Source organism: Homo sapiens, chromosome 2 (assembly GCF_000001405.40).
Source record: "Homo sapiens chromosome 2, GRCh38.p14 Primary Assembly".
NCBI lineage: Eukaryota > Metazoa > Chordata > Mammalia > Primates > Hominidae > Homo > Homo sapiens.
In genome coordinates, this window is record NC_000002.12 from 165,086,089 (window position 1) to 165,108,490 (window position 22,402).

The 22,402-nt window shown below is 34.8% G+C and overlaps 1 protein-coding gene across 10 annotated transcripts in view; it reads right to left on the minus strand.

Annotated features, from left to right (window-relative positions):
• Positions 1,438-22,402, minus strand: part of SCN3A (sodium voltage-gated channel alpha subunit 3) — a 116,525-nt gene continuing 95,560 nt past the window's right edge. For 9 of the 10 annotated variants that reach the window (NM_001081676.2, XM_017004662.3, XM_017004661.3 and 6 more), the window contains 7 exons: positions 14,214-14,336; positions 11,164-11,436; positions 10,379-10,432; positions 9,423-9,560; positions 8,286-8,390; positions 6,166-6,436; positions 1,438-5,257 (listed from right to left, as the gene is read on the minus strand). In NM_001081676.2, coding sequence (NP_001075145.1) covers positions 4,062-5,257; positions 6,166-6,436; positions 8,286-8,390; positions 9,423-9,560; positions 10,379-10,432; positions 11,164-11,436; positions 14,214-14,336 — 2,160 coding nt within the window. In that variant the 3' untranslated portion in view covers positions 1,438-4,061. Of the gene's footprint in view, positions 5,258-6,165; positions 6,437-8,285; positions 8,391-9,422; positions 9,561-10,378; positions 10,433-11,163; positions 11,437-14,213; positions 14,337-20,728; positions 20,945-22,402 lie in introns of those variants that run through there. The other variant, XM_047445395.1, reaches the window with a different exon arrangement.

A 22,402-nucleotide genomic window follows, 5' to 3' on the forward strand; every position in this document is an offset into this window, starting at 1 on the left:
GTCTTTTAGAAATCTGTAACTTCACAGAGAAGAAATAATAGCCATAATTTCAGTTATTTAAAGCATCCTTCAACTTTATTGTATAAAACTTTTTGGGGATAAGAAGAGTTTTCTTTTTTTTTTAATGAGGCTAAAGTCAAAGCCAAATGTTGTGTTTCTGTTTAATGTTATCTTAGTAATGTTTCTAAAAGTCTATTGACAATATACATTTTTTTCTCATTAAGTATTTCCCATATAGAGGAAATTACTCACTTTGAATAGGCAGTGAGTGATCACTTTGATTTTGAACATTGCATTTTAGAATTAAAGGCATACCAGAGATAATATTCTAAATTCAACATCCCTATTAATGATGGAAAAATCTGAGGGCTAGAATTTGATTTGCCTACATTACACAGCTAATTTGATGCCAAAATTGAAACTAAAAGCCAAATGTAAGGACTATTGGTTCCGTTCTTTTTACCTTTTTCATTTCCGCAAAAAAGGTCAACTGACTTTCTGTATGATTATTAAGTTGTTTGAAATACACAAAAATGGTTTTCTTGTTATTTTACCATATACTAGTTTTTTGAAAATTATTAAGATATATAAATTTATATAGCCATTATCTTTTGGCTACAATATTTGAAAACCAGAACACCCATTTTTCTCTTCATACAAGTGTTTTCTCTTTATTAGAAAGCAACCATTTAGTTTCACTTAGTGAATTCAAGTTTTCAAGTTTTATTTCATAGTATTGTCATTTCTATGGCAACTTGATTGATTCTACCTTCTTTTTTTTTTTTTTTTTTTTTTTTGTGAGGCAGAGTCTCACTCTGTTGCCCAGGCTGGAGTGCAGTGGTGCGATCTCAGCTCACTGCAACCTCTGCCTCCCAGGTTCAAGCAATTCTCCTGCCTCAGCCTCCTGAGTATCTAGGATTACAGGCATGCACCACCACGCCCAGCTAATTTTTTTGTATTTTTAGTAGAGATGGGGTTTCACTATGTAGGCCAGGCTGGTCTTGAACTCCCAACCTTGTGATCTGTCCATCTTGGCCTCCCAAAGTGCTGGGATTACAGGCGTGAGCCACCGCGCCCAGCCAATTCTACCTGCGTTTTCAAGATAGAATCCTATCATGAAGTTGCATTATGGAAGTAGTTATTTCAAAAATATGTCAAATTATATTAGCAACTCTATATTCTGGACAGTATTTTCAGAATATCCTTTAGCTAGGTAGGTATATTTTTAAAAGTATTCTCCCTTTTCAACTAAAGTCTCTTCTGATGATTCTGGAAGATGGTCATTTAGGTATAATGCATACCAATTAATAGATTCCTTATAGATCACTTGGATAATGATTACAAAGGTTTTGCAAAGCAATATTTGGCATCTCTGTGGTGTCAGTGAGATGTAGATGTGTAAATTGACTTGAGCAGAAAGAAGCCAATGAATTCCAATTAGCCACCTTATATAATTTATTATGGGAGAATTATGAAATACATATTTAGATCCAAATTGTCTTTAAAAATATGCATTACAACTGGAGTTTTCCACTGAGAATAAGAGTTTGGTTTTGACCTCACATAAATCCAAGGGTTCTTGAAAAAAAAGTTAATATAAATTCTCAATAACTATATCATTAATACCTTATGTATACATAGGAGTTTATATAATGCATTTAAGTAACAAAGAATGTAACATTTATTAGCCACCAAGTAATTAGGAGATAGCATCAATTATATTGAAAGAAGATGAGTTTAGATGCTTATAGCCAAGGGAGTTAATTGAAATTGAAAGCTATTGTAGGTGGTTACTACTATTATTATCAAACCTGAAAGTTGGAACATGTGAACTTGATCCTTTGCACACATAAAAGTTCACAAAGCTGCTTTTAATTTGCCTTTGTTCTGTAGTACTGCTTGGTGAATCATGCACTAGTTTGTTGTAAAATTCATGTAAACTTTTATGTATACAAATGTCAGATCAAGCACAGGTTTTATTAATTATATATATTTTAAACTGCCAACAGCAAAAAACAAAAACAAAAAACCCCAGAGGCCAATAAGTGAAATGCAATAAAAAATGAAATTTATTCTTTTGGCTCAATAATGACGTAGCTCACCATTCTTTTTAGCAATAGCAATTCCCTGCATGCAGTTCTTCAATACACTACAGTAAATAGTTTTGTAAAAAGAATTAACATTAAACTTTTGGTTTGTGCAAAAAACAAAAATTTATATCATGTTAGGTAATTGCACAACTTTGCCACTTTGTTCATGGCTAAAAAGAACAAAGTCCATGTTATATTTGTAATAGCTTTAGTGCAGCAGGAATTAAAAAAATAAGACTAGTCTGCATACGTAAATACTACAAAAGTTGAATAAAAAAAAACATCTATGAATAAAAGGTTATATTGAGGCAACCATAGTTGGTAGAAAATGATCTAGGTTTGAGTGTTTGACCAATGTATCTCCTATTGGAATGGTAGAAAATATATTATAACAAAGAAATCCATAAAACCCATTATCTAACTTTTATTTTAGGAAATTATCCATTGAAAAATCTTATGGATTCAAAAGTTTGGAATTGTGATTAAAAATCAAAAGCAAAAGCATAAAGTAAAATAAATTGTGATGTCATCAACCTGAAAATAATTTTCTTATGTACAAAATGCTGACAAATAAAGTTGATTATATTTTTACATTATTTATATTTAAACAAGTTTTAGACATATTTTTAGCAAAATATGAAGAATAGGTTTTGTCAGTAGGCAGTATCCAGTGTGTTTCCTTGAAATCTAGAGAGATACCATATGATACTCATGTTGAATTAAAAGTGCAAAAGTAAAGGTGTTTGTAAATAGCTTCAAATTATTCTGCTTGACATAATGGACAGAGCAGGTTGAATTCATTCTATCACCAATATGTGACATTCTTTAACCAAGACTTGTGAAGAATGGATTGAGTAAAATAGAGCAGCATAGGCAATATTAACATGCATTAGTGATAGCCTTTAAACTATGTTTAATGAATGATACAGGATACATCCCTGTTGGAAGCTTGCAAAAGACACATACACTGTGGTACATATTTGATTTAATAGAAGTTGTTTATCAGGCTATATATATATTTGCCCAAACATGCACCACAGGATAAAATAACTATTTACATAACATAGGGTATTTAATTGACATAGACTATCAGCTTTGCTGAGAGCAGAAGATGGCAAAGCAATACTGCAGCAGAAAGTGGAACAACTATTCTAAAGCAATACTTTAGATATATTTTTCTAGAATGGATTTATTAGATTACTTTTTGGAAAGCATTTGACCTAAATTAAATATAGAGCTCTGAAACTTAGAATAAAATTTGCACTTGCTGAAACAGAATACTTTGCATAAAAATAATCCTTTAAATATTAGAGGAGACTTTACAGGCACATAACTGTTCAGATAGAAACAAACATAACAGACTAAAATACTTTCAAAATTAAAGCCATCTAGAAAATGGAAGTAACTGAAACTGTAGCCATTACAATTCTTTTTCTGGTTTTGAGCAAAAATTTTATCTCTCTGGCAAAACACCTTTGTCTGATCATTTGAGAGACAGGGTTCTTGTATACTGTTTCTTCAACGTAAACCTCATTTACAAAAATAGTGACATAGCATTATGAATAAACTATGAATTGGGGACCATGGAAATGCACTAGAACAAATTTTGTAAAAATATGGCAGATATGGAAGTTAAAAATAGAATGGATGCAAGGACTGTACTAAAGGTGTTTGGTGTAGTTACAATGTTCACTTTGCACAACTATCCCTATAGTCTAGGTAGCCATTGGGTTTCTCCTCAGCAGTGTCAGCTGGTAATAAAAACAGCAACCTCTTGTCAATGTTGATACCCTGCTTCACAGAGTTGCAGTGACAGAGAGGTCACTTCACTGTCTTGTATAGGCACTGACTATGAGTATTTGTTAAAACAGTCAGTTTGGCATGGACCTCCTCTTGAAGTCCAGTTGACACATATACTTTACCTTCATAGGCTGTAAACAATTGATCACAAAGATAATTCTTTGTTTCTTTTTACTTTTGATTTTCTCTGACCTCTTTTCCTTTGCTTTCTTTTTCTGGTTTGTCTTTCTCAAACTTTTCCTTGTCTGGTTTTGTTACACTATCATAGGAAGGAGGAGAGGTGGTAGAGGAACTCCCATCTGTTTTTTCTGGAGTGGAGTTCCCATTTAGTTTGTCAATAATCATGTCTTGTTTTATAGGTAAGTCAATCCTCCCTTTAATTGCCTCTTTGTTATAGTTACTTGATATATTTTTTAACCTTTGCTTTAAAAGATAACATCTGAAATTACGCTGAATGATAGCGGCAGACACCTCCTCTTGTTTACGTTTCAAAGTGGTTGTAATAGGCTCATAAGAGACTTTGGAGGGGTTTGATGCCATAAACCTGTCTTCCATCTGTATTCGAAGGGCATCCATCTCTCCACTCTCACCCAAAACACGCTTTGTAAAGGCAAATAAAATATCAAGACAGTGGATCCGGTCACCACTGACCATGGGCAGATCCATGGCAATAAGCTGGACTTTGTTGGGTTTTGCTATGAGAAGAGGAGGATCCAGGGCAGCTGCAAAATCAGAGAGTTTAGAGAACTCTATAAACTGGGTCGCATCGGGATCAAACTTTTCCCAAACCTCATAGAACATCTCAAAGTCATCCTCACTCAGGGGCTCTGCACTTTCTTCAGTAGCAACACTGAAGTTCTCCAGGATGACCGCGATGTACATGTTCACCACAACCAGGAAGGATATGATGATGTAACTGACAAAAAAGAAAATCCCAACAGATGGGTTCCCACAGTCTCCCTTAACTGAGCTGCCAGGGTGAATTGTGTCAGGGTCACAGTCGGGTGGTGCACTATTAAGAATAGGTGCTAGCAATCCATCCCAGCCAGCAGAGGTTGTAATTTGGAACAAGCAGATCATGCTGTTGCCAAAGGTCTCAAAGTTGAACATGTCATCAATTCCAGCTTCCTTTTTAACATAGGCAAAGTTGGACATCCCAAAGATGGCATAGATAAACATGACCAGGAAGAGCAGGAGGCCGATGTTAAACAACGCAGGAAGGGACATCATCAAAGCAAAGAGCAGCGTGCGGATCCCCTTTGCTCCTTTGATCAGACGTAGGATTCGGCCAATCCTGGCAAGACGGATCACTCGGAACAAGGTAGGGGACACAAAATACTTTTCTATCATCTCAGCCAGAAACATACCTATGGAAAACATAGAACACAGCTAAACAGATAATATCTTTCACTTACATGATGGCTTTATCTTTTTTAAGGTCTATGAACACAACAAACTTGTTATGAATATGAGCCTTTATTAAATATTTGGATCCACTCCCTGACATTAGCAATTACAGATTACAGAGTTTTATTCAGTGATTCTGTAATGTCATAAACCAATATGAATTTTTGCAAAATCCAAATAATCTCCAATGGTAGCATGGCAATTTAAGATTATATAGACCCAATTTATATGAATTGTTATCCCTACACATGAATTGTGGCAATTACAAACAAAAATATTTCTGAAATCTCTGAATATATTGTTTTCTATTTTTTAATGATACTCTTCAGTTAGAGAGAAATGGGCCATATTTGACATGAGGTTAAAGTTGAAGTTTCTAAATTTGGGGTTCTATAATTCCCCATCTCTCTTTTTCTCCTACTAAATCTCAACTCTTCTTTGAAGACCCACCTAGGATGCATCACCTTTATCTCTGGAAGCCTGTGTTAACTCATTCCAGCAGAGATGGCTACTTCCTCTTCAGTGCTTCTTACAATACCAACTTTATTGCATTACAATGATTTGTTTTTTAAGCCATCTGCCTCTTTTAGCCTGTGACCTTGGTTTAAGATTAGGAGAGTACCTGATAATGTTTATTTCCTGTCTTCTTCACCTCTTTCCCAAATCTGGTATTCCTAACATGGTTTCTAACTAGTTAGCTTTGTGAATAAACCCAGGTTTCAGAGTTTTTATTCAAATATGCTAGTGTTGAACTTTACATCTATATGCATTATTATTCTCAGACCTAATTTCCATGTTAATCAGCTAGAAGGTCCTGGGGCAACTGTTTCTCTGTAACTATACCTCTTGGTAATTAAGCTGTTCTTACCTACAATGGAGAGAATCACCACCACAAAGTCAAAGATGTTCCAGCCTATAGTGAAGTAGTAGTGTCTGAGGGAGACGAGCTTCAGCACAAATTCTCCAGTGAACAGAACAATGAACACTAGGTTGATCCGGGACAAAACTAGGGTCATGTATTTGCCCTGGTCATCCGTTTCCACCATCATGGTGACCATGTTGAGGCAGATGAGGATCATGATGCTGATATCAAAGACTTGTCTGGTTACAAAATCAAAGACCATTCCTTGGAATTTGTTCTAGAAAGTGAGAGAAGAGAAATAAGGTTACTATATATATTTCATAAAGAATAATGCAGTAAAATTGTAGATAAAGCCCTTCCACATACGGGATGGATGTGCACCCTCCTCATATTACCCCAAACAATTTTGTGTGCTTTTTTTCTCTTCATGTTAAAAAAAATGGAAAAAAAATTTATATAGCTAAACAAAGCATATTTGGTTTATATAGGTCCTATGGAAAGACAAAGCTGGATGAGACATAAATTAAGGCTGGGCGTGGCAACTCATGCCTGTAATTCCAGCACTTTAGGAGGCTGAGACTGGAGGCTCTCTTGAGGCCAAGAGTTCCAGACCAGCCTGGGCAACATAGTGAGACCTCATTTCTATTAAAAAAAAATTAGCCTGGTATGGTGGCACAGGCTTGCAGTCCCAGCTACGAGGGAGGCTGAGGTGAATCACTTGACCCCAGGTGTTTGAACTTGCAGTGAGCTATGGTCTTGCCACTGTACTCCAGCCTGAGAGACAGAGTGAGACCCTGTCTCTTAAAAAACAAAACAAAAACAAACACATAAATTTGTGACAATTGGCTGATAATATATGTAGTCTTTGCTTGATTTGAATAAGTATGATAATTTTTATAAAAAATAGTGACTACTAATAACAAAGATTTACAAAGCAGGTTAATATCAACAGATATTTAGATAGAGAATACACCAATTCATTTATCAATATTTTAGAAATTTTGGTTTATACCTTATTTCCCTCCCCTGAAATACATCAGTCATATTTCTATTGAATTCTACCTCTCTAGCTCTGTGAATCTATGTATGGGCTTGTTAATTTATCTGTATTTCTTTCCATCTGTCCTTCTTTACCTATGCCCTGTGCTTTAACAAAAATGCATGACTTTAAACACTTTTTTTCTTTGTCTTATTAACAATCATCTCAGGAACAACATGCTTTCAAAGATTCTTATATTAATATGGCTAGTAAATACAGTTTTATTAAAGAAATATATTATTAATCATTTAGAGTAAAAACTTAAAACTTCATGGCTTACCAAAAATCAAAGGTCATGAAGTGACCATGTTTTAATTTTTAAAGAACTCTAGTAAAGTCAGTTCAATCCTTTCCCCTCTTACCCTGCTCCCTCACATTCCAGCTCCAACTACTCTTATAAATATGGTAAAGTCAAGTCACTTAGAGAATTTATGGGGCCTTGTCAAGTCCCAGTTCTGGCAATTACAAGATTTGTGACTTGGGGCATGATTCGTATGTTCTTTGGGCCTCAGTTTCCTTACTCCTTACCAATCTCAGAAAATAGCTGAGTTAGAGTCCAGCTCTGTGAACATAATCTGTCATTATTACATCATTCCATCATCATGAGGCTCTACAGAGTATGCATTCTGAATATGCCTTATTCTGTTTTGGTGTATTTGGTGAAACAAACAATTTTGATGACACCTTTTCCCTTTCTAAACAGGTTTGGAATATTTTCTAGTCTTAAGAATGGAGGGAGCAGAGAGTATAGAGGGAGGCCTTGGAGAGTGGGATGGGAAGGCTAGAGGAGGAGGAACCAGGTGTGCTGTTGGTAGCAGGAAAGTGAACCTTGCTTTGGAAGTATTTATTAGGAACCCTGAGCTAGAAGTTTTCAACTCACAAATTATAAAGAACATTACCTCCTTTTTTTGGAATGTGGTAACTCCTAATGAGTGCAGAAGTTGTGAATTATGATGCAAAATATGAACTTTATAATTAGGGCTCAATATTGGTGATATCACCTAATATGTTCTGCTCCAGAGCATTGCTCAATTTGACCATATGGACGCATGGCTTTGGAACATTAAAGGAGACAAGTAATTCTTACTGCTGGGCGAGGTATGGGTTTCTGAGGTTTCTTGGATCCAAGTTTCTTCATTGCATTGTAATATTTTTTCTGTTCCTCTGTCATAAAGATGTCTTGACCTCCAAAGTAAAGACATAGTATAAAACTGGTTACAATTCTGTGTTCCAATAGTACTTTCACAAAAAATATTTGTCTTTCCTTTAATCTTTTCTAATTTTTAAGTGGATATTATCCTCCTACATATACATTTATCCTGCTTTTCCCATTTATGTGAAATTCTGAATATCTTAATATTATGCAAAATCCTTACGTACATAAAACTCTGATCGCTACAGGATCCTAATTTGATTATACTATGTTTAAAAGTAGGCACAAGGGTCTCAAATATATTTTTGCAAAACAGAAAACATTTTCTTAGTCCATTTCACTGCCGATAATTTTACTTCTTCATTCAACAGTTTTTAACACTTTCTGTGTGCTAGACAATGTGCTGGGTGTCAGAATTACATAAATATATAAGATACAGTATTCTGCTTCTAAATGGAGCAGGAAACTGAAAACGTAGGTGGACAGTGTATGTTGATATGACAAAAAAATTAAATGTACTGCAGAGGCAACAATGAATTCAGAGACTCAGAGACAAGCTGTTACATAGCTTACCCTTAAGCTAGGCCTTAAAAGATGATTATGGGTTTTCTAGGAACATTCCAGGATAAAAAAAAATCACAAAAAGCCATGGAGGTACAAGAGAATGCTTGTTCAGAAAAGGGCAGAAAGCTCATATAGATGTATGGGTGGTGACTATGTAGTAGGGAAATACACATGTATAGAGTGAAGTGTAGGAAAAAATGAAGATGGAAAACTGGGTGGAGGTAATTCCTGAAAGGCTCTGTAAGCCAAGCTAAAGCACTGGAGACCCGTTGGATGGGTCCGAAGGAGTGGACACATTTTTGGGTCAGAAAGCTATCCAATAGATAAACTTTGAGAGGAGCCACTGACTAGAGGCTGGAATCCCTGCAGCTTAAATAACCACATGGGCAACTGAAAATAATATAAACATGATTTAAGTCTGTCATGACCACAGGTATTCTGGTTATTTGGCTGTATTAACAGACAGAACCCCAGAATGAAGAAAGGTAAAAGCTAAAGAATACTTATCTTCTTTTTCTGCTGGTTGAAGTTATCTATGATGACACCAATGAATAGATTCAGAGTGAAGAATGACCCAAAGATGATAAAGATGACAAAGTATAAATACATGTACAGATTTTCTTCATATACAGGCTGAAGTTTAACCTAAATGATATTGAAAATATTAAATAATATGAAAAATACTATAAATACTTACACTAAATCAGTAATTTATTGAGTGCTGTTACTTAATACAGTGCTACTTTTGCCTTACCCTGAGATATTGTTCTACAAAAACAATTTTTTAAAACTAGTATGATCTAGTAAAATGAAGGTTTGCAAGTTTTATGATTGTTCTTGATTCTCTTTTCCCATTGTGCCTTACATTTAACATATTCTTTAACATAAATACGGTGATATAAGCAGGGAAAACATTTTGAGCCTATTATTAGTCATAATTTTTTGCAGTATTTTCTGTTTGGTTTTGGAAATGCTGAATTTTGGAAATACGGCTTTAAGAGCAGAACATCAACTTCTAAGAGGAAAATTCAGCACAGATATATTCTGTGGAGTTATTTTTATTTTTATTTTCTAAATTGAGTGTCCCTGAAACTTGCTTGCTTTTCTGTATCATGATATTCTTGGAAGCTGCTTCACAGAGTCTGGTTTATCATACTCTCCAGGGATAGGGAGAGACAAGTTACTTCCCCACTGAACAACTTTTCCACTCAGAATAGTCTCATTTACTGGACCAATCTAATGTCTTAGGATCCATGCAGCTAGATATCGTTTCATATTAGCTACATATTGTATATTAGGCACACATTAATCAAGCATCATCTATATTGAAGCAGACTGTTCATTTTTTATATGCAATATTAAATGTTCTAATATAGAATTTTGGATGTATCAGTGTTTAAATTACCACCAATATTCACCATAAGAAATCTAGAACCTATAAATAATATTTGAGTGATACTTACATCTCGTGAATCAACAGCTGCATACATAATATCCATCCAGCCTTTAAATGTGGCCTGTAAATAACATATATTTGAATTGTTCATAAAAATTTCACCTAACAATGACATTTAACCAGATGAAAATCTGACAGTATTATAACAAATAACTTTTTGTACAATATTGTGAAATTTCATATCAAGAGATTGAAATAAAATTGAAATAGAAAAACATTTGTATTTAAAGTCTGGAACTTGTTTCCTTTTTTTTCTTGAAAGTATTCTATTTTCTTCCTACACTAAAATTTAGTGAAAGACTTTATTCATGAAACTGCCATCTCAGTCCCAATTCCCTTATATGTTAAAGTGTAAGCTCTATGATTTGCATTTTGACACATAGTAGAATCATATTTCTTAGACATTGTTATAATAAATTATCTGGCTAATAATTTATACATTTAATTCATCACTACAAATATGCATTGTTATTTTAGTACCTAAAGTTGCTCCTTTGGCAATAATTGATACAGAAAACTAAAAATGATACCAGTACCCAAAAATATAACAAAAAAGAAAGCAGAAATATAAAATCACATTAAAACATACTAAAAGCTTAACACTAAGGAAAATACATTATAAAATAATTGTAACATCTTTTTTATGATCAATTCAAGCTGATATTATAGGTGTTATCATTAACTTTTTTTCATGCTGTCAAATGTTAGTCATTCAAACGAAGAACATCAGGGAAATAATCTTCCTTGAAACATCTTGAAAACTTTTTCAAAACTCGTACAGTAGCCACTTACCACTTGAAGCAGTGCAAGATAGCCAGCGCCAACATTATCAAAGTTTACTTTCACGTTTTTCCACCGAGCTTGCTTGCCAAGAGCCTGACAGTCACTCAAATTGTTAACATCACTAATGTCAAACATGTTACCCGTTGTCATGTTAACACAGTGGTAGAACTTGCCAGCAAACAAATTCACACCCATGATGCTAAAGATCAACCAGAAGATGAGACAGACCAACAGCACATTCATGATAGAGGGAATTGCTCCAACAAGAGCATTCACAACCACCTAGAAGAGACAGCGAGGGGAACATAGCTTACAAACCTTTTGAATGGAAACCATTCCTTCAATGTATTTGTTTAGTATTAATATGTGCTTGAAAAGAGTTAAATAAAAATCTAGGTGGACAAGTTGTTTCTTCTAATTTTTCTAGCACATATTTGAAGGAAAACAAACAATGACACAACTAAAGAGCTAAGGTTTTAAGGAAAGCAAAATATGCTACAGTATGAAAAGAAATCATTAAAAACCTGGTATAGTAAGATGGAGTCAGAAAATGTTTGTATGCTGGGGAAAAAAGAATAGAAAGATGCATTAAATGCCAACAGAAAAAATAATCATCTTTCAGTAATACATTTTAATTTTCAAGAGTGTTAATGAATGAATGATAATTTGAAAAAGCCAGTAAACAAACCCTTTGCAAATAAACAAAGTATTAAAAATGCCTTAAATCTATATTCTCAGATCAAGTTAACTTTTTATGACTACGAAGAACAGGATTAGGAATTTACTGGGTCCCTTTTTCCCCCTGTTAGTAAATCTCAATAAAAAGGTTTATTAAGTTAGGGGAAAAAGTGGAATTTATATCTGGTCGTAACAGTACTGGATAAGTTCCCATTATTATTACTTCACAATCTCTTAAATGTTCACTTTGGAGCACATGCTACTTCATCAACCCAGGCTGACCTATTTCATGAGAGGAAAATTCATTCACTTCTCATTAAATTCAGAAGATATTAAGATGTATTTTGAAATCTTTATGAAAGTCAACAGTAATTTTTCTTGTCTAATCTAGTTCATATTGGACCATTCTGTTAATCATTTATGTTAAATAAAAGTATTGTTTTATTTTAAAATACTGCAAACATTATTTTAGAAATCAATACCAAGGAATCTTAAATTGACATCAAAACCAGAAATCCAAAATTGTAAACATTTCCTATGCTACTTGAATTTTGTTTCTTTTGGAAGTTAAGCCATATGCATTATACTTGCCAGGGAGAGAATGCATTCACTGGGTTCTTAGTTTCTGTTTCTGGCTGGGCCCGTAAAGTCCCTTCCTCATCCCTCTTTTCCACTTATCACTAGAGATAGAAACTAAAAACCATGGCTTCAGGCTGTTAGTAGCCTAAAACAATATAGAACAACAACAATAACAAAATAAGGCGGGTTGGACAAGTTTGGTACACACCACCACAGGTTCTCCTGTTTTCAAGTAAATGCATAATACATTATCATAATTTGCATCTGGAATATTAATTGTGCTATATGACTGAATTAAAAATTCTAAACTTTGAATATTTTTCAGATTAGAGAAAATTTATAAGTTTTAAATTTTGCTCAGTTGCTATCTCCCCTCATAAATGAACTGTTAATAGGAAACATGGAACCAAATGAGAGCTTAAGTATTATGAGTAATGGTAAAAGTTTGGTTTGAAAAGAACTTGAAATTGTATAGTAATTTTTATGAATTTTATCTTGTCTAACTTTCTTTAGCATTAGCAAGGAAATGAAATTACAATGTAAAAACCAAATATTTCTTTGATTACAATGATTCTGGAGAGTCTGGAGAGTGGCTTAATTCTCCCTGATGGGTGAACTTTAAAGTCAAGGTTGAAATATTTTTATTGCCCCAAACCAACCATCTCCTAACATCCTAACATGAAAGCCCTATCACCTAGACTAAATTAAATATCCACATGCACTCACAAGCCAGATTAAACAAAACTGGCCTTTGTGCTGAATTCTACCGAGGGGCATGGCAAATGGGTGGTATCTATAATAAAGTGTGATTTTATGTTTAGATGCATAATATACATATTAAGGAAGAGAGCTGGGGAGGAAAATACAACTGCTATAGAAAAAGTGAACCTTATTCAGAATGCTCAATTAGAAAAAAAGATCTATAAAACAAACTCTGGGCTGGGCGCAGTGGTTCATGCCCGTAATCCCAGCACTTTGGGAGGCCGAGGCGGGCGGATCATGAGGTCAGGGGATCGAGACCATCCTGGCTAACACAGTGAAACCCCGTCTCTACTAAAAATACAAAAAATTAGCGGGCGTGGTGGCGGGCACCTGTAGTCCCAGCTACTCAGGAGGCTGAGGCAGGAGAATGGCGTGAACCCGGGAGGCGGAAGTTGCAGTGAGCTGAGATCGCACCACTGCACTCCAGCCTGGGCGACAGAGCGAGACTCCGTCTAAAAACAAACAAACAAACAAAAAAACCAAAAAACTCTGGAGGTTGCCTGAAATGCTTAATTACCTTAACCCTTCACTTTGGATGTTATTTAGCAATTTGTTAGAGGCTAAAATTCAATGTTGTTTCCTTATGCAATAATTTTTATTACTGATATTAATTCAAGAAGCAAAGCACACAAAACCCATTTTACCTTTCATTCATTGCCAGTAATTTTGAAGGAATCAAACTATTGAGAGAAAGAAACTCCCCACCACGGATGAATGTCAGTAGTCAGTAGTCATTTCAAGGGGTGTAAGCAATGAAAAGAAACAACTGGCAGTCCAAGGTTTTTGAGTGTTGTAGAAACATATTTGAACTGTGACAAGAAGACCTGGATGCTAGTCTCAGTTCTGTCCTCCCAAAATTCTGAGAGCCTGTTTAAATAAACTCCAGTTTCAGAAGGCTAGGCTTTGTGATATCTAAGATTTTTGCTCTAATTCTGTAATTCTATGAAATAAATATCAGAAGAGTATGGCACCCTTTTCTATCTAAATCATTACCTACATGTAATTTTGACATGAATAATTAGAGTGTCTATTCTTCTTACCCTCATGCCTTCAAACCGGGATAAGGCTCTTAGAGGTCTTAAAGCTCTTAATGTCCGTAATGATTTGATGGCACCGAGTTCTGAGTAGCCAAGAGCATTGGCTACCAGGCTAACCAAAGAAACCTACAAAAGGAAAAAAAAATTAATTAGTTCACCAAGAAATAAACTGTTGACTGAAGGTATAGGGTGTGGTATCTATTTAATGCAGACTAAATACTAATTTGGACATACCTTGGCAACTTTCATCTTCCACATAGTGGGGTCATCTTATATTGCCAGTCTCATCTCATACTATTGCTTTTTTTTAACCAATGAAACCAGAATACTTGCCCATATTTATCAACACGTGTCAATATCTCCAGTTAGATATTTTATACCATGGACCCCTTTTCAACTTGTGCATATACCACTGATAATTCAGGATTGAGTTCAATGCCAGATCCTTCATGGATGTGTGCTTAAAATTATTGATTAGAAATAATGTTTCTCTCTTGAGTTTATGTAATATCTTAGTTATGCATTCTGGAAGCATTCACCATGTAATAGCGTTCACTGATTAGATATCTTATCTCCCTTTCCAGATCGTATACGTTTTTTTATCAGCTGGGATGAAACATTGTTCTCTTAACATGTCTAACGCTGTCTGGTCAGATATACTTTAGCCAAAATATGTTGGATAAATAATTATTCCAGGGAAAATTTTTATCCAAACTGCTGGACTTAAGATTTAGAATATAGTCCTCGTCATTCAGAGAGATGGTACAGCTTCCTGATACAGGCTGAGCATCCCTAATCTAAAAATCTGAAATCTAAAACGCTTTGAATGCTAACATGACACTCAAAAGAAATGCCCATTGGAGCATTTTGGATTTTGGATTTTTCGATTAGAGATGCTCAACTGACATAGAACGAATATTCCAAAATCCAAAACACTTCTGGTTTTTGATAAGACTTAACTTGTATTTATACTAAATTTTACTTAAATATATGAAAGATCAAAGAAGACATGTCCTTTTTTGGGGGAGGAAGTTTATTTGCTTTAATTTTCTTTCAATATAATAACATGTCTTCATGTATAAATCCAAAGATATAGCTACCATTACCATCACCTCTTTATGTGTGAGGAAGTTAGAGCGCCACCCCCACCCACAACAACAAAAGGATGCACAGCTAATAAGAGTAGAATTGGCGATTTGAACCCAAATAATCTGACGTCAAAAGCATATCTTAACCTTTTGCATCCATTAAAAATGTTTCTTCTTCATCTGAATCATAGGGCACTGAAAATGATTTGAATGACCATCTTCTCAGTTCTTTCAAAGATGGTACATAACTAGTGCTTTCCTTAATTCATAAGAGAGAAATTAATTCATTATATCCACAATGGCTTAAGAGCATTAGGGCTTAATTTCCTATGAAAAAAGGCTGTTGAAAATGGATTTAAGTGAATCCTCCCAACAATCTTGTGAAATATGATGAAATCAATAATGTGCCCAAGAACACAGGATATAAAGAGTGATACCAAAACCAGAACCTAGGCTTTAACAACATATGAAGCCACTGTCCTCTCATTGTTTAATTTAGCATACATTTTAAGAATTGAACAGAATAATACATGACTTGACTGCTAAACTTGATTAGTGGCAGGATAATTGATTGAGCTATTCATTTCTGTCTTAGGTTTGCTGTTATAGAAGACTGGAAAGATTGGAAAGGTTATTAGAGAACACACAGGCTTCTATGTTCTATGCTCCTTTTCCTCAGGAGGAATTAACAGCTTCTTTATGTTTCTAGAGTTACTATCTGAAGATTTTTCTCAACCTCCCAACAAAATCCTTTATTTGAGACATGGGATTTTAAAGGGACGTGGCTGCAAATTTCTCAAGACCTTGAAGTAAGGAAGCTTATGCTTTGAAAAGAAAAGTAAAACTGGGTGTGATGGCCTATGCCTGTAATACCAGTGCTTTGGGAGGCTGAGGTGGGAGGATCACTTAAGGCCATGAGTTCAAGACCAGCCTGCGCAATAGAGTGAGACCTTATCTCAACAAAAAAATTTAAAAAATGATTAGCCAGGGATGGTGGCTCGCACTTGTAGCCTTAGCTATTTGGGAGGCTTAGGCAGGATGATTGCTTAAGCCCAGGAGTTCCAGGTTACAGTGGCTATGATCACACCATTGCACTCCAGCCTGGGCTATAGAGTGAGAGCCTCTTTTCTCTTTAAAAAAAAAAAGAAAATAGTAAGGTAATATCCAGAACAGTGGGTTCAGGAAAGATAGGAAGTCATGAGTTTAAAGGTTGAAAGGCACCACCTGCATCTAACCACCCTACATGGCATGGAATTGTGTGTTGTTAGAGAAGCTGGGCTTAATGAAGCTACACTTATTTTAATGGACCTCATGGCCCAGAGGACATAGTGCCAGAGTTGCAGCCACAATATGTGAGGATCAGAGGAAATTAGCACCACATTTCTAGGCTACATATGTCCTAGAATTTCTAGAAGTTCCCAAGGAGAGATCATAAAAAACTACCTGACACTGGATTTTCTGACAAATCTGTGCTGGGATCTGTTGCGTATTTGACTTATATAGGAAAATAAAGGGAATTTAAAATATTTTTAGGACTTTGAGAATACTCACTGCAGATTGGTTTAATCAAATAACTTAAAATGATTTTTCCACGCAAATTACGATAAGATTATCACAATCTGATCAATCACATACATAAATATTTTTTTCTGGTTTGCATGACTTAAGCTACAATGTCATTTTGTATAAGGCAAAACCTTATTTTAGTGGTTTAACTGATGTGAAAAAATATGGTTTAAAAGCTATTTTGAAATGAGATCTTTCAAATCTCTATTATAAGTGGAGATAGCTCCTTGCAAGAATTTTAAAGATTTGCAACATACATAAAGTTTGAAGATAATGACTACATTGGTAGGGTGCTTTACAATTCACAGTGACCTCTTTCACTCATTATCTTTGTGTCTCAGAATAGTGAAATGACCACTCCAAGGAAAGATGGCCACAGGTAAACATATAACTAGAATTTAGGTCATCTGTTTTTATGTCTAATGTGTTTTTCACCTTAGCAAATTTGTCCCCAACCTTTCAATACATAGTGTTTTAATATTATCTCTTTTGTGCTAAACACAAAAGGCACTCTTGCCAATGTGTGCAAAGTATGAGATACCCATTTCCAAAAACTAAATTTTTAATATGAATTTATATGACCCTAGGTACCATATCACACTACACAGTAAATAAATGGAAATGTCTGTGATAGAGGTGTCAGGGGTTGGTTCAGTTGTCATCCACACCTTTCCACATTCTTATGGCAGCTGAGACTGAGAAAGAAAAGAATAATGCAGGATGGAGTTGATGGTTCCAAAGAAGATTCTGGAAATCCTGTGATTGGTTAAGGAACCAAACAACAGGAATTTTTTTTCCTTGAAAATGGCTAAAGACAATGTTTAAAGTTCAACATGAACAAATAAAAGATAAAAACTCTATATCACCTCCATACATTCTGATGATATATTTCAATCTAAAAGCTTGTATAATTTTTGATGATGAGATCCATAAGCATTCTCATTAAAATCAGAATAAAAGAGTATGCCCATCAACAACATTATTATTTAACACTTTCTGGAAAAAGAAGAGTTATAAGAATTAGAGAAGTGGGAGAAATCATTGTTTGCAGATATATTGTTGTTATCTTAAAAAATCCCATAAGAGAATCAAGTGAAAAACTATTATAAACAATAATCTAATTATTTTAGGCGGTTGATAAATACATTTTTCATCTTAACTTTTAAAAAAGTTTGTGTAGGAGTCTTTTTGAATTACAAAAACTTTAAAAATATAATTCAGAAAAAGTAAAAGTATAATAATAATTTAAAATTTTGTGAAGAAGAAAAGCAGAGAGGACAAATTTCACCAGATATTGATTATAAATATACAGTAATTAAAGCTGTTATATTAGCAGACAAAGAATGAATGAAATAAAATAAAGCTCAAATTAGCATGTGGATACTGAGATTTAGCACATGGATAAGGAGATAATTTTAAATGAGAGGAGAAATAGAACAACTGATTATTCATTAAATGAGAAGCCAGATAGAAAAAAATAATACTAGAGCCTTACCTCACACCTTACACCAAATTAAATTTCAGGTTGGTCAAAAATTGAAACATAAAATATAAACTAATGGACAAAGAAACAAACAAAATTCTCCAACTAAAAAACTGAAAAAAAAAAGCCCGGAATATTTTTAATAGTCTTGAAATGGGTCTTCATAAACATGAGAAAACCAAGAAGAAAAAAAATTCTGATAAATTTGACTAAATCAATATGAAAAATTTATACATGACAAAAGAATTCAAGAGACAAAAGCTCAAATTAGAAAAATATTCATACCACATGTGACAAAATACTAAATTTCCTTAATATAAAAAGAGCTCCTACAACTCATCCAGTAAAAGCTCATTAACCAAATAGTAAAACACACAGATTCTTTCTAAACTTTTACTATATCTGTTTGAACAACATATTTATTTATACCCCCTACTGAAGTTCAACTAGAAGAAAAGCAAAGGAATACAGACAAAGATAATAGGAGAAGATACAACAAGAAGAGTTTTAAAACATTCTGGACTGTGGAAAGCACAGGAATAATTACTTTCTCATCAGAGAAAGAGCAGCAGAAACCCAGGTGCCTGCAAAAGCAACTCAAATTGTTTCAAAAAATGATCAGAAGGCTCTGGAACTGGAGGCATTTGGTTGCTCAAAAACAGAGGGGCAATTGATGGAGCTGAAAACAGAACTGATTAAAATTTTGTATACAGGAAAGCTAGACACTCTTGAGTCCCTTCACCCAACGCTCTCCAACCCTTCAGAGAGCAGAATAAAATACAACTTCACAACTTCTGGAGTAAAATCTGTACTTGCTACAGACATCAGAACATCTAAACAGTTATCTACATTGTTGTTGGGTTTCCCTGCAACACCACAGATGTCTCTTCCAGTATATCCTGAAGTTGAGTTTTTCCCATTAATAGTACTGAGGGGCTTAAATAGCACATGGTATTTAAGCTCAGTATTTCTTAGGACAAGGGCACCCGGAATTTCAGATTGCTAGCTGCACACCTTCCTGCTTCCACCACAGAGGAGCCCTATTTCCTATCTGCTGAGTAGTTCCTAGAAAAGGGCTCAGGTAGTGGTGAGGGGCAGGTACAAAGCTGCCATGGGAATGGTAGCAGAGAGCTCTAGTGAAGATGGGAGGTTGGGGATATTTGTGACAGAGGGATTTGGCCAGCTGGGGTGGGTAAGGTGTACAGCAGGAATAGAGCGCAGGCTTCCAGAGGCTGTGGGAAGTGCAGTCTCTATGCAATCTCAGTCAGAAATGGAAGTCCAGACTGGGAGTGGTGGCTCATGCATGTAATCCCAGCACTTTGGGAGACTGAAGCAGGAGGGTTGCTTGAGCCTAGGAGTTTGAGGTTACAGCGAGCTATGATTGCACCACTGCACTCCATCCTGGGTGACAGAGAGAGACTTTGTCTCCTAAAGAAAAAAAAAGGATAATTTATTTTTATGTAAGGGGAGTTTGTAAGTTTGTAACTCAAGGGCCGCCTCTTTGCTTTCTCTTCTACTTTTATCTTTATGGTTTATTTATTGGTCTTTAACTTTATACATGATTAGAAAATTCACAATGCTCACATGCTATATAAAAGCAAATACCGTGGTCATTGTGGTATTGTTTATAATAGCAGGAAGCAGACGATCTAAGCGTTCATCCCTGGGAAAAGGATGAGTAAAATCTGGTGCACTCATCACTGGTGACTACAATATGGTACAGAGAAGCCATGAGTTTCACAGGAATTTCACTTAAACATTCCAAACACTATGTGCAGTGGGGGAGGGGTCTTTAAAATGAAGACTTTGAATCAGGTGATCTCTCTAAGTTTATTTCTTTGTCTGGAATTCTTAATTTGGCAATTTAAAGATGATTAAATCAAAATAACACTATATGTTCTTTATGTTGAAAAAGAACAAATCAAAGTATCTTTGTTAATAGATGCATCATCTTCAAGCACACTCCTAGAAAAAATTTTAAAGTGCAATTTTGATTCATTGTGAGCATAATTACTTCTGTTTATGAAGTGTGTAATTATGACTGTATCTTCAGGTGTAATTATTTCTTTTTGGAAAGATATGAATTGTTTTTGACATTTTACATAATGAATGTATGTTATATGTTACTTAACTAGATAACTACTCTGTGCCTCAATTTTCCCATCTACACACTAGGAAAGTAACAGTAGATGCTGCATAAGTTGTTGTGAAGATTAAACAAATTAAGCATTGAAGACAAAGGACAATTTATAGCTCAGTTAAGGTTGGTTGTTATTAGTATTACAAATGATAACGCTTGTTTGCCTTTACTGTCACCATTTAGAATGCTGGCTGATGAATTGCATCCCACGGGGAGGCCTTTAAGAAGAAAAAGAGTGATGTAGGTCTTCCGAAAACATTTATTTGCAGAGGTTGTGACTGGAGGCAGGAACATTTAGTAAGCTATTGCTTGGTCCAGTTGATTGCAGTGGTGTTGATGTGCTGAAGAGGAGGGGCGAGACTGTCCACTCATTTATTAGTCAATAAAATGGAGAAGAACTTGCTGATTGATTGGTTGTGAGGGGTGAAAGGCAGAAAGGCTGAAGATGACATCTGGCCTGGATTTATACAAACATTACCATCAGACTAAGTAGGGAATTTGGAAGAAATGCATGACTTAGAGGGGAAACATGATGAACATGTGCAGATAACAGGTGTATTAACATGTATTATCTAGGAAGCAGTTAGAAGTATGGGTTGGAGTTTAACAAAAGACCAGAATTAGAGATTAAAAGTCTCTATTAAAAGCCATACTCTTTCAAAGAATGGGCTATAGAAATTTATAGCTACATTAGTAGGATTATCTTTTTAAACCTTGCCTGTGAGAAATTTTTCTTATTAATTAATTAATAATGCTAAAGGAGAATTAAATTCTTCCAAGAAATGGACAAAATGAATCATTTCTATCAGAAGACATTTATAGAAAAAGTCAAATCACATACTAGACTGTTTACACGGAAATATATCTAGAGAGAGAGATCAGAAATTAATATGAAATGACAATAATTTATAATTATTTAGTTCCTTTACCCCAAAGCTCTTTTAATTTATTCTAATTCTCTGCACAAGGGTGCTAGATAAAATTCAAGGCAGGTGTCTGCATATTAGCAAGGCACCATCTCATTGCTTTCATTCACCACCACTTATACGCAATCACCTTCGGTGTCATGTGGGAACTCTTTGACTAGTTCAGCACAATATGCCAAATAGATCTGTGCCCTATTGTAAAATATGGATCAAAGAACCCAGTGTTGGGTAAAGGTAGCTCTACCACCTACTAGCTGTATGACATTTCTAAACCTGTGAAATAGAGATAACATCTGTAGCAAAATAGAAATAATAATACAAAAAATCAAAAGCTTGTTAAAAAGATTAATAAATACTTTGTAAGTAAAAGAGACATTTATAATGAGGTTTGTAATGTAGGGGTTAGAAACACAGTCATTAGAGCCAGACAACTTGGGTACCAAATCCAGCTTGGCCACTTATTAGTTCCGTTAACATGGGAAAGTAACTTAACCTCTCTTTGTCTTAGCTTCCCTACCTGCAAATTGAGAATAGTTGTTTCTAACTCATAGAATTTTGAAGATTAGATGAGTTAACACATGTGAAGTGCTTTTGGTGGCACCTGTACACAGTGTGCATTAAATCAGGGTAGTAATTTTCACTATTATTATGTAAGGCTCTTAATTAGTGCCATTCCCACAATAAGTGCTTACAAAGTACTAGGCATAATATCTTTCTACTACTATTACTACTAATAACAATCTAGCTCCATTATTGAGGTTGCCAATATGTCAATAATAAATGTCAAGAACTAAGGCAGGAAATACTAGATCCTAGGGGTTGCTGGCAAATGGAAATACATATTAGGATCAGAAAGTGTCCCTATGGTGGTTTTGTTCACCTCAACAGAGCAGCTTATGGGATTCTAAGGAGCATGTGATTAAGCAGGAAAAGCATTCCAAAGCCATAATATCAAGCATCTCCTTTTAACCTGTGCTGTTAGTGAAAAT